Source organism: Homo sapiens, chromosome 7 (assembly GCF_000001405.40).
Source record: "Homo sapiens chromosome 7, GRCh38.p14 Primary Assembly".
NCBI classification, from domain to species: domain Eukaryota; kingdom Metazoa; phylum Chordata; class Mammalia; order Primates; family Hominidae; genus Homo; species Homo sapiens.
Genome location: NC_000007.14, coordinates 40,124,681 through 40,139,773, shown reverse-complemented (window position 1 = coordinate 40,139,773; position 15,093 = coordinate 40,124,681). Strand labels below are relative to the sequence as shown.

General features: G+C 42.8%; 2 protein-coding genes across 17 annotated transcripts in view, besides 3 other annotated features; one reads left to right on the top strand and one right to left on the bottom strand.

Moving 5' to 3' along the window:
* SUGCT (succinyl-CoA:glutarate-CoA transferase) overlaps window positions 1-4,769 on the bottom strand; it is a 903,812-nt gene extending 899,043 nt beyond the window's left edge. For all 16 annotated transcript variants that reach the window (XR_007060157.1, XR_007060158.1, XR_007060156.1 and 13 more), the window contains exon 1: window positions 4,654-4,769. Coding sequence is in view for 13 of the 16 variants with exons in the window: in XM_047420840.1 (XP_047276796.1) it covers window positions 4,654-4,753 (100 nt within the window). In the remaining 3 variants the exon portion in view is untranslated. The remainder of the gene's footprint in view (window positions 1-4,653) is intronic.
* Window positions 4,697-4,896: a silencer, noted in NCBI's record as "silent region_18118". NCBI's record gives its function as "represses an Ori minimal core promoter by ATAC-STARR-seq in GM12878 lymphoblastoid cells {active_cell/tissue: GM12878}" and the evidence as "EXISTENCE:reporter gene assay evidence [ECO:0000049][PMID:35858748]".
* Window positions 5,077-5,146: an enhancer, noted in NCBI's record as "active region_25890". NCBI's record gives its function as "activates an Ori minimal core promoter by ATAC-STARR-seq in GM12878 lymphoblastoid cells {active_cell/tissue: GM12878}" and the evidence as "EXISTENCE:reporter gene assay evidence [ECO:0000049][PMID:35858748]".
* MPLKIP (M-phase specific PLK1 interacting protein) lies at window positions 5,152-13,747 on the top strand. Its single transcript, NM_138701.4, has 2 exons — window positions 5,152-5,545; window positions 6,515-13,747. Exons 1-2 carry the CDS (start codon window positions 5,207-5,209, stop codon window positions 6,713-6,715), a joined length of 540 nt encoding a protein of 179 aa, NP_619646.1. The 5' UTR covers window positions 5,152-5,206; the 3' UTR covers window positions 6,716-13,747.
* Window positions 5,357-5,426: a silencer, noted in NCBI's record as "silent region_18117". NCBI's record gives its function as "represses an Ori minimal core promoter by ATAC-STARR-seq in GM12878 lymphoblastoid cells {active_cell/tissue: GM12878}" and the evidence as "EXISTENCE:reporter gene assay evidence [ECO:0000049][PMID:35858748]".

Genomic DNA, 15,093 nt, shown 5'->3' with positions numbered 1-15,093 from the left:
CACGGGCAACAAAAACAAAAATAGGCAAATGGAACTTCATTAAACTAAAAAGCTTCTGCATAGCAAAAGAAATGATCAACAGAGTGAACGGATAACCTGAGGAATGGAAGAAAATATCTGCAAACTACATATCCAACAGGGGACTAATATCCAGAATTTGTAAGCAACTCAAACAACTCAACAACAAAAAACAAATAATCCCATTAACAAATGGGCTAAGGACATGAGTAGGCATTTTTCAAAAGACAAACAAGCATATCAAAAATGTTCACCATCAGCCGGGCACAGTGGCTCACGCCTGTAATCCCAGCACTTTGGAAGGCTGAGGTGAGTGGATCAGCTGAGGTCCGGAGTTTGAGACAAGCCTGGCCAACATGGTGAAACCCCCGTCTCTGCTAAAAATACAAAAATTAGCCAGGCGTGGTGGCACACACCTGTAGTCCCAGCTACTGTGGAGGCTGATGCAGAACAATCCTTGAACCCAGGAGGTGGAGGTTGCAGTGAGCTGAGATCTTGCCATCGAACTCCAGCCTGGGTGACAGAACAAGACTTTGTCACAAAATTAAATAAATTAATTAATATTATGAATCCTGGATTTATTTATTTATTTATTTATTTATTTATTTATTTATTTATTTATTTATTTTTGAGCCAGAGTTTTGCTGTTGTCGCCCAGGCTGGAGTACAATGGGCAATCTCGGCTCACTCCTGACCTCAGGTGATCCACCCACTTCAGCCTCCCAAAGTGGTAGGATTACAGGCATAAGCCACCACGCCCAGCCTGATTCCTAAACTTAATCCAATAACAGATTTCTTCTCAAACATTGGCAGTATGCTGTAATCATTTTAAATTCATAACCAGAAAATGAGTTGAACAAAAAATTCAAGACTCTAGGGAAACAAAAATAGTTTGTATATTGCTAGAATTGTCTATTAAGAGTCATGTTTTCATGCCTTTTAATCTTCCCTGAAAATTTCTGTGTACTGCCATGAGTAAAATTTTTAAAAAATGTTCAACATCACCAATCATCAGAGAAATACAAATTAAAAACCACAATGAGATATCATCTTACACACAACAGAATGGCTATTAAAAAGACAAAAAAAATCACAGGATGTTGGTGAGGAAGCTGAGAAAAGGGAACTCTTCTTATACACTGTTGGTGGGAATGTAAATCAGTGCACCTTCTATGGAAAACAGTATGGAGATTTCTCACAGAACTAAAAATAGAACTACCGGAAGATGCAGCAATCCCACTACTGTGCATCTACCCAAAGGAAAAGAAATCATTACATCAAAAAGACACCTGCACTCATATGTTTATCACGGCACTATTCATAAAAGCAAAGATATGAAATCAACCTAAGTGCCCATCAATGGAGCACTAAATAAACAAAATATGGCATATATACAAAATGGAATACTATTCAGCCATAAAAAAGAATGAAATTATGTCTTTTGCAGCAACATGGATAGAACTGGGGGCCATTATCTTAAGTGAAATCACTCAGGCACAGAAAAACAAATATTGCCTGTTCTCCCTTATAAGTTGGTGGTAAATAATGCGTACATATGGAAGCAGAGTGTGGAGTGATGGGCAATGGAGACTTGGAGGGTTGGGGATGTAGAGGGAAGGGGATGGACTACAGGAGGTTGCTTGCTGGGTACAATGTGTCTTGTGCCAGTGATGGATGCACTGAAGGCCCTGACTTCACCCCAATACAATATATCAATGTAGCAAAACTGCACTTGTACCCCCATGAATATATGCCAAAACAAAATCATAACTGGCTGGGGCACAGGGGGCTCATGCCTGTAATCCCAGCACTTTGAGAGGCCCAGGTGGCTGGATTCTGTGAGCTGAGGAGTTCAAGACCAGTGTGGGCAACATGGCAAAACCCCATGTCTTCAAAAAATACAAAAATTAGCCAGGCATGGTGGCACACACTTCTGGTTTCAGCTACTTGGGAGGCTGAGGTGGAAGGATTGCTTGAGCCCAGAGAGGCAGAGGTTGCAGTGAACTGGGATTGCGCCACTGCACTCCAGCCTGGATGAAAGAGCAAGACATGTCTCAATACTTAAATAAATAAAAAATATATAGAGAGAGTATACTGCTATACGACAGAAAAACACAACTCAAACTTTTTTATTGGTCACTTTTATCTTGCTACAAAATGTACTACTAGAAGCTTAAAAAGAGCATGGCTTTTGAATTTTAATAAATTTTAGTGAACTTTAGTTAGATTGAAGTTATACAGATAAATGGGTTGATGGAATAAAGATCTATATACTCATTAGGCGTCCATCAGTTAAACTGTTTACTATTAAATTAATTTGTTGGTTGGGCATGGTGGCTCACCACACCATTTAATTGCAGAGTTTTGGGAGGCCAAGGCAGGAGAGAGGAATGCTTGAGGTGGGGAGTTCTGGGAAACACAGCAAGACCCTGTCTCTACAAAAAATAAAGAAATAAAAAAATTAGCCAGGCATGGTAGCATGAGCCTGTACTCCCAGCTACTTGGGAGACTGACGTGGGAAGATCACTTGAGCCCAGGAGGTCGAGGATGCAGTGATCTGTGATCTCACCACCGCACTCCAGCCTCGGTGACAGAGTGAGACCACCCCATGTCCATAATAATAATAATAAAGTTAATTTTGGTCCCCACCACTCTCACTTTTCTGCCCCCTCCCCTGAGTAGACTGGCTGATGATCTAAAAGGTGAAAATTACCTATGTGATGTATGTGAACCTTTTTTTTTTCCAGTGGGGTGGGGGGGCATGATAGGGTCTCGCTCTGTTACCCAGGCTGGAGTGCAGTGGCACAATAGCGGATCACTGCAGCTTCAACCTCCTAGGACTCAAGCCATCCCACCTCAGCCTCCCAAGCAACTGGGACTACAGGCGCACGCCACCAAGCCCGGCTAATTTTTTTTGTATTTTTGGTAGAAATGGGGCTTCACGATGTTGCCCAGGCTGGTCTTCAACTCCTGGGCTCAAGCAATCGTCCCACCTAGGTCATTTTATTCAATAAATATTCAAATGAGCAATTCCCAAGCATTAAGTTAAACACTAAAGACAATGTCCAGAAAGGTGAATTTTTGGCCAGGACAGAACTACTGTATTTAATAAAGTGGATAGGCTGGAGTCCTCCGACCTTAATTGTATCACTAAGCCTTAATGGCAACGTGCTACCTTGATTAAGTCTATCACTTGTATCTACAGAAGAAACGAAATGTAGTGAATTGAATTTCCACAGAATAAACAAACAAAAAAACTGTCTGTGTGTGTCTCCATTCATCAAGGAGGATAGAAGCTGAGAAGATACCACACTCGTCAGCTTGGGATGTCACAGAACATGTCAAAGAGACAGCGAGGAGTAGCAGCTACAAGAGGGTGAATGGAAATCACAGGTCCAGGCTACCCGTTAGGCTATGATTTAATGAGTCCTAAAGCTCTTTTAAGATTCTGTATCCTACGCCAGGCGCGGTGGCTCACGCATGAAATCCCAGCACTTCGGGAGGCAGAGGCAGGCGGATCACTTGAGCCCAGGAATTTGAGACCAGCCTGGCCAACATGGTGAAACCCGTCTTTACTAAAAATACAAAAAAATTAGCCGGGCATGTGGCACATGCCTGTAATCTCGGCTACTCTAGAAAGCTGAGGCAAGAGAATCGCTTGAACCCGCGAGGCAGAGGTTGTGGTGAACCAAGATCGCGCCACTGCACTCCAGCCTGGGCGACAGAGCGAGACTGTCTCAAAAAAAAAAAAAAAAATCCTGCATCCTGCAACTAATTTCAAGATTCATAGTGGGCCGCGCGCATAATCATAGAGATTACGTCTGTAATCTCAACACTTTGGGAGGCCGAGGCGGGAGGATAACTTGAGGTCAGGAATTCGAGACCAGCCTGGCCAATATGGCGAAACCCCGTCTCTACTAAAAATACAAAAATTAGTTGGGCGTGGTGGCGCATGCCTATAATCCCAGCTACTCGGAAGGCTGAAGCAGGAAAATCTCCTGAACACGGGAGGAGGAGGTTGCAGTGAGCCGAGATCGCGCCACTGCAGTCCAGCCTGGGCGAGACAGCGAGACTCCGTCTCAAAAAAAAGAGAAAAAAAGAAAAAAGGAAAAAAAAGATTCATAGTGGATTACCATTCCCAAATTCAGAGGGAGTAAAGAAAGTTCTATAACACTGTAGTAAAGCTAAATTTCATCCTCTAAATAAAATTCTGCAACAGGTAACTGTACAAGGGCATCTTTTATTGTACATGAAGTGTCAAGTTATTCAAAGCAGCGGGCTAAAGTCCTTTCTGAAATGTGGCTTGGTGTGCATTTTCGAAGTTACTTAAACTTGGCGGACGAAAGGACAGGAGTAAAGAGGCCCCAAACGCGAGCCGCGGGACGCGCAGGAGCGGGACCCCACGGCGCACGGAGCCCTCGGTCACAACAACGCACGGGACAGAGGCGACCCTGGGCGGCCAGAGCGGGGCAGGCCGGCCGCAGGCCCACGGAACGGGGTTGCAGGGAGGCGAGCAAAGCCACCGCTAAGGGGTCAGCAGAGACTTCAGACCCTAATTGCTCTCCTCAGGGCGCCCGAGGAGGCAAGCTGGGGCAGGGATCCCTTTAGCCACCCAGACCGAATCTCGGAGGGTACCTGACTGCGGGCGGCCAGTCCACAGCCCCCTCCCGCCGCCCCGGCCGGAGAAGAGGCAGGTTCTGCGCAGAGCTGCCACCCTCGCCAGCGTCGCCAGCATCGCGTGCGTCTCAGATGGCATCGGTCCCGGTGCAAGCGGCGAACTCCGTGCGGCGCCACCCGCCGCCACTGGGGGGCGCCCACGGACGCCGCAGACCCCGCCCCCGCCGGGCGGGGCTGAGCACTAGTCGCCTGCTGGGCCAGCTTCTAGTCTGTCGGTCAGACCAAGGGCACTCAGACTGGAAAGGTTGTTGCTGGGCTTGGGTGTCCGTCCTTTCCTGTCTCCTTTTCTTCCTCTTTTCACTTAAATCCACTGAGTCTCTCGCCAAGTCAGTGATTTAGGTAATCCCGCCGCCCCTGGCGGAACCTTTGTGACGCCGGAACTGATGTGCCGTAGGGTGGCTGCGGTCGGAGGACTGTTTTGGTAAAGGACTAGCAGTTCTCTGCGGAGGGCCGGTTGATACAGTTCCGGTGGGAGAACGCGGCTGCGAGGTTTTCGGCTTTGGCTCCTGATATGCAGCGACAGAATTTTCGGCCCCCAACTCCTCCTTACCCTGGTCCGGGTGGAGGAGGTTGGGGTAGCGGAAGCAGCTTCCGGGGAACCCCGGGCGGGGGCGGACCACGGCCGCCCTCCCCTCGAGACGGGTACGGGAGTCCGCACCACACGCCGCCGTACGGGCCCCGGTCTAGGCCGTACGGGAGCAGTCACTCTCCGCGACACGGCGGCAGCTTCCCGGGGGGCCGGTTCGGGTCTCCGTCCCCTGGCGGCTACCCTGGCTCCTACTCCAGGTCCCCCGCGGGGTCCCAGCAGCAATTCGGCTACTCCCCAGGGCAGCAGCAGACCCACCCCCAGGTAATAATAATAGCCAGCGTTTGCCGAGCTCTTACTTTATGGCAGGCACGGTACTAATATTCCCTTTACGTGGATTATTTTGTCTAATCCTCTCTGAGGTACTATTGTTAGCCCAATTTTGCAGATGAGCGAACTGAGGCTTAGAGAAGTTGAGTGACTTCCGGAAGATTATCCGAAAGAGTGGCAGAGCCGTACGTTCTGTTTTCGAGCCCTCGTGCTTTTAACCAATACACTGCCACCCGTACACAGATTTTCCTAATTCTCCATTTCCTCCTGTTTGCCAAAGGCCTTGCCAGTTTGTTTCAAGAAATAGTTCTTTTTCTTTTTTTTTTTTTTTTTTTTATCTTTCTTTCGAGCTACACTGGCTTCTGCTCCAACTTCCCTGAAAAGAAAATCGGTGGTAGTGGAAGTTTTCCATTCCTTTAGTGAGAGTAAATACAAAAGACAGAGAGAGTATCTCTAGCATGTCTGGGATTTCTGTGGTTTACAACTTGCAACTACGTGGTTTTCCAACTTGCTGTATTCTACACCAACCCCCTACCCCTTTTGAGCCTGGAGCTAAGGAGTAAAGAAAATGTTCATGAGCTAGAAAGGTTCTAGAAACTTTAAAACTATAGTATTGTTTTCTCCTGAAAAAAGTGAAAATTTCGAGGGAAAATTGAATATAATTACTTGATTTCATCACTGCTTGTATTTAATTACTGCAAAGTTACTACATTAGACACAAAAGTATTTGAGATGACAGTGGTCATGGAATTATAAATAAATGAGAATAACGAATTGCTTTAAGTACTTTTTTTAAAAAATAGGAACACTTGATTAAAGGAAGCATGGACTTTGTAATTGAACATTATTTAGGTTCAAGTCACAACTTTTAAGCAGCAATGTGATTCCCGCTAACCTTTAGCTAAAGGAAGAAGTACCAATTATCTTTACTAAGTGTTTTTTTAACTGATTTTTTTTCTAAAGGGTTCTCCAAGGACATCTACACCATTTGGATCAGGGCGTGTTAGAGAAAAAAGAATGTCTAATGAGTTGGAAAATTATTTCAAGCCTTCAATGCTTGAAGATCCTTGGGCTGGCCTAGAACCAGTATCTGTAGTGGATATAAGCCAACAATACAGCAATACTCAAACATTCACAGGCAAAAAAGGAAGATACTTTTGTTAACATTTCTGAAATTCAACTGGAAGCTTCATGTGTCAGGAACATCTTGGACAAAACTTTAAGTTGTGTTGATATAAATTTACCCAAAGATGATGACTTTGATTGGATAATTAGTAAGGTCTTTTTGTTATTTTTCATCGTATCAGGTATTGTTGATATTAGAGAAAAAAGTAGGATAACTTGCAACATTTAGCTCTGGAAGTACCTACCACATTTTAGAGATTTACCGTTTCCATATATTTAACATTCCTGGTTACATAATGGACATTTGTCTTTTAATGTTTTTTCAATGTTTTAAAATAAAACATTTTGTCTTCTAGCTATTGTGGTTTTGTGGTATGATAAAGAAGTAGACTTACTACAGTAATGCTTTGTAGTCACTTAGAGTTCATAGGTAAATGTTTTGCAAATTATTTTTGAAAATGAAATAGGTAAACCATCCTTTGAGCTGTAGACAGCTCTGTATTTGTTCGTAAATAATGAGGATGAGAATAACAGAGTTCTGTTCATACTCATTTTATCTAATGCTTCTGTTAAAATGCATTAAAACTTGAAGCCCCAGAAACCCATTTAAGCATAACTTTATACTCATTTAACTGGAAAAGGCAAGAATAGACCATGCATTGCTAAATCAAAGTGTTCTATCTGAATTTCTCTATACCTCTTAGCATTATGGAGTTAGTTTCTCTTGAGGCCAAAGAAGATAGCTACCAGCAGCCTCAAATCACTTCCATTGCAAAAAGAACATCTCTCATCTCCATCAATCCAAGAGAAGACAAATTTGCCATACTTAGATCATGTTTCTGTATTATTGAACCAATTAACTGTGGCCAAGGCCACAGTGAGACCTAATTAACTTGAATCATGGACACATCACCATAATGAGACAGGATTCTGTGACCTTGAACACCACTGGGCCTACCTGGAGTAGAGAAGTGGTTTTCCAAATTAAGGGATGCTATGGATATATACCTATAGTTCTGGAGAGAAAAATATGGAAGAATTGTTACCCCAACTATTTTTTAAAAATCAAGTGGTTTTTTGTTTGTTTTTTGAGATGGAGTCTGTTGCCCAAGCTGGAGTGCAGTGGTGCAATCTTGGCTCACTGCAACCTTCGGCTCCTGAGTAGCTGGGACTACAGGCACATGTCACCATGCCTGGCTAATTTTTGTATTTTTAGTAGAGACCATGTTTTGTTTTTTTTGTTTGTTTTGTTTTGTTTTTGAAATAGGGTCTCACTCTGTTGCCCACGCTGGAGTGCAGTGGCGCAATCTTGGCTCACTGCAACGTCCGCCTCCCAGGTTCATACGAGTCTCCCGCCTCGACCTCCTGAGTAGCTGGGAATACAGGCACGCGCCTGGCTCATTTTTGTATTTTGAATAGAGATGGGGTTTCACCGTGTTGGCCAGGCTGGTCTCGATTGAACTCCTGGTCTCAAGTGATCCCCTACCTTGGCTTCCCAAAGTGCTGGGATTTCAGGCATGAGCCACCGTGCCCAGCCCAGAACATGTATTTTTAGTATTTTTAGTATTTTTAGTTTCACCATGTTGACCAGGCTGGTCTCGAACTCATGATCTCAAATGATCCACCCATCTCAGCCTCCCACAGTGCTGAGTTTACAGGCGTGAGCCACCATGCCCGGCCAAAATCAGGTGTTTTAACATGTAACACAGACTCTAGGCATTTTGAAGTTACAAAATACGAAGATAGAGCTAGTAAAACTTTTGTTTCAACATTCCCAGAAAGAAACGTGTAAAAACAAAATGGTCACACCTCCTATTTGAACCATACCCACAGAAATTTGTTCATTAGGTATTTCACAGAGACTAGAAAATAAGAATGGAAGGCTTTTAGATTAATAAAAGCTCCATGAAAGCCAGGATTTTGGAAATGCTGTTTCTACAAGTTACTAGCTGGATGAGTTCACTTCTCTATGCCTCAATTTTCTCATGTGTAAGATGAGAAAATTAATAGTACCTGTGTCATAGAGGTGTTGTGTTGGAGGATTAAATGAATTTATGTATGAAACTCTTAAGCCAGAGCCTGGCACATAGTAAGCACTCAATAAGTGGTAGCTGTTACTTTCTCATTTACCCCCATTTCCTTAGTTTTTAGAATAGTGTCTGCAAGATAGTAGGTACTTAAGTGATAAATGGATGTAGAAATTCTGATTGTAACTACTATATTGTTCTACCTACACCCTGTATATAAAAGGGATAACTTAGTAATTTTTCCCCAGTATTTTAAAGAAAAAGTCCTTATTCCCAACATTATGTCTTTCCAGATATGTTGAGGTCATGATGTATAATGGAAATTAAAGCAAAGGGAATACTTTTTTAAATACTTTATTGAACTTTATAGGTAAGAAATGTTGTCTTTAGGAAATGACATTTGGAGATAATTTACTGAAGCATCTCTTAGATCATTGGGTTATTAGTAAAGACGAAAACAGAAGTTAGGATTTTGTGCCAGTGTATTTATATCATATTTGGAAGACATTCAAACTGTAACTCTTCTAATGGTCTACGTACATTTTATTTCACTGTAAGTGTAACATAAAACAAAGGTAAAATTTCTTGCTAACGCTTACCAACATCTACTTCTAGAGACCTGGCCTGAGTTTTTTAAGAAAAATTTTTGTCCTCAGGAAAGATGCATACACTGTAAGTAGTGTATTCAGTTATCAAAATTCTTGTGGCATTGGCCATTTGGTTTGTTACCGTTACTCTATTTTTATTTATCTGAGTAAAAGGAATTGATTATTCTTTAAAATGAAAGGGATTGTTTTTTAATGTTCTAGGATACACATTTTACCTCTATAAAAATGCTGAATAACTTTTTAGAAAAACTTACAATTAAGTATACATCTTAAAAATTCATATGCTTAAAGGATGGAAGTGTAGTCTATAGTAGAGTCTTCAAACAAGGGTCTACATACTCCTGGGAATATTAAACTTTCTAAGGGATATGCAGGCATAAATAGCTTTAAGGGAATGCAAATTCAGATCGCAGTGCCCATGTAAATCCTTTATTAAAATTGACCTACATAAAAACATATCCATATCAAGGGATCATGCCAGTTCTTTTTCCCTGCTGCCTTTTGGTAATCACTGGTCTCCCATTTTACAAAAGAAACCTATGGCAAGTTGTGTTTTGCAGAAATGACCCCAACAATATTTAAAGTCTCATACCCTTCTCGAACCTTGCCACTACCCTTATCAAGATGTGGAGTTACGTCCCTTCCCTTTGAACATTAACAGACTTTTTTTTTTTTTCAAAGAGTTAGAGGGTCTCCTTATAGGGGCCTCCCTGTATTACCCAGGCTGGTCTCTAACTCTTAGGCTTAAGGGGTCCTCCAGCCTCGGCCTCCCAAAGTGCTGGAATTACAGGTGTGAGCCACCACGCTTGGCCCCTTAGCCAACTTCTGACTGCCATAATTAAGAGAATATGATGGAAGTTAATCTATTTTCATTGTGGGTAAAGTGTGGTGTTAAAAATGAGTTATAGGCCAGGCACTATGGCTCACACCTGTAATCCCAGCACTTTGGGAGCCCAGGTGGGCAGATCACTTGAGGTTCGGAGTTTGAGACCAGCCTGGCCAATATGGTAAAGCCTCGTCTCCACTAAAAACACAAAAATAAGCTGGGCATGGTGGCGCGCGCCTGTAATACCAGCTACTGGGGAGGCTGAGGCAGAAGAATCACTTGAACCCAGGAGGCAGAGGTTGCAGTGAGCCGAGATAGTGCCACTGCACTCCAGCCTGGGTGACAGAGTGATACTCCATCTCAAAAAAAAAAAAAAATAAGTTATATTGGCCCGTGTGGAGATGTTCAGAATTCAGATGTATTATCAAGTTGGGAAATAATGATGAAAGTGTTCAGTGACCTTGCCTTTTTGTTTCTGGACTATTCAAAAAATCATTTCCTTTGTGGGTACATTGTGTGAAAGGAAAGCAAAGAGCATGAGTTTAACATGAAGGAAAAGATACCTTATTTTTAGGCAAAAAGCAAATGGTGAGGCTCTTTGCCTCATCTACCTAAGAATTAAAATATTCAAGATTAGTAAAAAAGCATGATTAGTTTTGGTGAATCTCCTGTGAAGCAAACTCTGTATTTCCACCATTCTTTTTTTTTTTTTTTTTTTTTTGAGACGAAGTCTTGTTCTGTCACCCATGCTGGAGTGCAGTGGCACGATCTCAGCTCACTACAACCTCTGCCTCCCAAGTTCAAGCAATTCTCCTGCCTCAGCCTCCCGAGTAGTTGGGACTACAGGCATGTGCCACCACACCCAGCTAATTTTTTGTATTTTTAGTAGAGGCAGGGTTTCACCCTGTTAGCCAGGATGGTCTCAATCTCCTGACCTCATGATCTGCCCAGCCTCAGCCTCCCAAAGTGCTGGGATTACAGGCGTGAGCCACCGCGCCCGGCCCTCCACCATTCTTGATAATTATAAAGAGCCTGATGAAGATATCTCAATTCCTGTCTCAGTAGCATAGTTTGCATGATATCAAGGAGGAGGAAGTTAAAAGTTTCATGTTTACTTCTGACATACTAACATTACATCTTCAAGTTAAAAACATTTTAGAAGTAAGTTCATGAATTTATATTTTCTGAAACATTTTCAGATTCTTAAGAGAAACATTTTCATTAACCCTTGCCAGTACATTTATTATTAGGTTCTATAAATTCCATATTAATTGTTTTACATAGGCCAAAGTCTCCTGCTATTGTCACTCAACCATTTCTCTGTATCATTCATTCCTACCATATACTTAGGTTTAAGTTAACAGAAATATGTTGTAGTTTTTACTGTAAATAAGACACATAATCGCCTGGTTGGAAGGTAGTGAGTTATCTTAATTGATTGTTCAGTCAGTTACAGATCGAACTCTTTGTTCTCGTCTTCCCCCCGCTTCTCACTGCTGCACTTGACTAGTCTGAAAAAAAAAAATACATAGTAGTCATCAGTACACCTGATATAAGCCCTGAACTTCCTAATGACCTCTTTTTTTGTGTGTGTGTGACAGAGTCTTACTGTGTTGCCCAGGCTGGAGTGCAGTGGTGTGATCTCGGCTCACTGCAACCTCCGCCTCCTGGGTTCAAGCAGTTCTCCTGCCTTAGCCTCCTGAGTAGATGGGATTACAGGTGCAAGCCACCATGCCTGGCTAATTTTTATATTTTTAGTAGAGATGGAGTTTCGCCATGTTGGCCAGGCTGGTTTTGAACAGCTGACCTCAGGTGATCCACCCACCTCAGCCTCCCAAAGTGCTGGGCTTACATGGGTGAGGCAGTGCACCCAGCCTGAATTACCTCTTTTATTTTGCTCATAATTTCCATAATTTATCATCTAATTTAAGATGCTTTGAGATTCACTATTATTTTATATGCCACTTAGTAAAAATACTGCCAGTTAAGCTGTGACATGTCATTGATTATAAGATACATCTTAATTTCAGAGATGTTAAATACATGTCTTAGTTTGATAAAATACCATACAATACTTTTCTTTTTTTTGAGACCGATCCTGCTATGTTGCCCAGGCTGGTCTCCAACTCCTGCCTCAGCCTCCCAAGTAGCTGGGATTACAGGTGTGTGACACTACACCCAGCTCACATACAATACTGTTTTTTGTTTGTTTGTTTGTTTTTTGAGACAGAGTCTTGCCCTGTCGCCCAGGCTGCAGTGCAGTGGCGTGATCTCGCCTCACTGCAACCTCCACCTCCCGGGTTCAAGCAATTCTTCTGCCTCAGCCTCCCAAGTAACTGGGACAACAGGCACGCACCACCACACCCTGCTAATTTTTTATATTTGGTAGAGATGGGGTTTCACCATATTGGCAAGGCTGGTCTCGAACTCCTGACCTCGTGATCTGCCCACCTCGGCCTCCCAAAGTGCTGAGATTACAGGCCTAAGCCACCGTTCCTGGCCTATAGTACTCTTAAAAGCAGAACATATACTTAGATATAAGTAGGTATATAGAAGTAAATGTCTCCAAAAGGTAGTGTAGGACAATACATTTGAAAATTGGCTTTAACCCATCCTGGCTAACACAGTGAAACCCCGTCTCTACTAAAAATAAAAAAAAAAAAATAGCCAGGCATGGTGGCGGGCGCCTGTAGTCCCAGCTAGTCGGGAGGCTGAGGCAGGAGAATGGCATGAACCCGGGAGGCAGAGGTTGCAGTGAGTTAAGATGGCGCCACTGCACTCCAGCCTGGGCGACAGAGCGAGACTCTGTCTCAAAATAAAAAAAAAAAAAAGAAAATCGGCTTTATTTAATTAGGGTTAACTCTTCTCAGATACTTGTATTTGTTCAAATTCATTAAAAACCATAATTGAGGCTGGGCGCGGTGGCTCACGCCTGTAATCCCAGCACTTTGGGAGGCCGAGGCGGGCAGATCATGAGGTCAGGAGTTCGAGACCAGCCTGCCCAACATGGTGAAACCCCGTCTCTACTAAAAATACAAAAATTAGACATGGTGGCATGTGCCTGTATCCCAGCTACTTGGGAGGCTGAGGCAGGAGAATTGCTTGAGCCCAGGAAGTGAAGGTTGCAGTGAGCCAAGATCTCACCACTGCACTCCAGCCTGGGCAACACAGGGAGATCCTGTCTCAAAAAAGAAAAAAATTTTTACAGTTGAAAGATTGCCAACAATCTAAATGACCATAGGAGAAAGGATAAATAAGTTGCATATTTGCACAGTATAACAAGATAGTTGATTAAATTAGAGCCATTTGATACAACATGAATAAATCTAAAATTGTGTACAAACAAAAGCCAAAGCAAAACTTATGTGATATTCTTTACGTCAAATTTAAAAGTCTGCAAAACAATATGCTGTACTCTCTATAAATGGTAAATATAAGGTCATAGTGTAAATACAAATGAAGGTAACATGCTTTAGATATAGTAATTATTTTGGGGTGGGTTCAGGGAGATACAAGCTTCAGATGGACATGGATGTGTGAGTGGATATGTATTTCAAGTCAACCAAATTTGGAAAATGTTAAAATTTATTAAACCTCACCATGGAATACACGTATATTTACTTTCTCTTCTTTGAAATATTTTATAATAAAAAATCTACTCTGACCTCCTAACTCATACTGTGATGGCAGCATCACCCTAATACCAAAGTCAGACAAAAACATTACAAGAAAGGAAAAATACTTACGAATATCTCATGACCATAGATGCAAAAGTTTTCAATAAAGTGTTACCAAATAGAATCCAGCAATAAATAAAAAGAATTATATTGGCCAGGTACAGTGGCTCACAGCTATAATCCCAGCACTTTGGGAAGCCAAGGTAGGAGAATCAGTTGAGCCCAGGAGATGGAGACCAGCCTGGGCAACAAGGTGAGACCTTGTCTCTACCAAAAAAATCGAAAAATTAACTAGGCATGGTGGTCCACGCCTGTGGTCCCAGCTGGATAGGACCACATGGGAGGCTGAGGCAGAAGGATAGCTTGAGCCCAGGAGGTCAAGGCTGCAATGAGCAGTGTTCACGCCACTGCACTCCACCCTGGGGACAGAGCAAGGCTCTGTCTCAAAAATAAAGTAAGATAAAAATAATTATATACCATGACCAAGTGGTATTTATTCTAGATATTTAAGGCTTAGCATCCAAAAATCAAAGTAATCCATCACATCAATAGACGAAAAAAGAAAAATCTCATTATCGTATGAATAGATGATGAAAAAGCTTTTTTTTATTTTTATGTTTTATTTTTTTTTATTTTTATTTTTTGAGATGGAGTCTTGCTCTGTCGCCCAGGCTGGAGTGCAGTGGCACGGTCTTGACTCACTGCAAGCTCCACCTCCCGGGTTCACGCCATTCTCCTGCCTCAGCCTCCCTAGTAGCTGGGACTACAGGCGCCTGCCACCACACCCGGCTAATTTTTTTGTATTTTTAGTAGAGAGGGGGTTTCACTGTGTTAGCCAGGATGGTCTCGATCTCCTGACCTCGTGATCCGCCCGCCTCAGCCTCCCAAAGCCCTGGGATTACAGGCGTGAGCCACCGCGCCTGGCCAAAAAAAGCTTTTTTTAAAGAAAATTTGAGACAAAGTCTCACTCTGTTGCCCAGGCTGGAGTGCAGTGACATGATTTTGGCTCACTGCAATCTCCACCTCCAGGGCTCAAGGCAATCCTCCCACCTCAGCCTCCAGAGCAACTGAGACTATAGTTGCACATCACCACGCCTGGGCAATTTTAGTATTTTTTATAGAGATGGGGCTTGGCCATGTCACCCAGGTTTGTCTTGAACTCCTGGACTCAAGTGATCCTCCCACTTCAGCTTCCCAAAGTGCTGATGTTATGGGTGTGAGCCATGATGCCTAGCCACAAAAAAGCACTTGACAAAATTCAATACCCATTCATGACAAA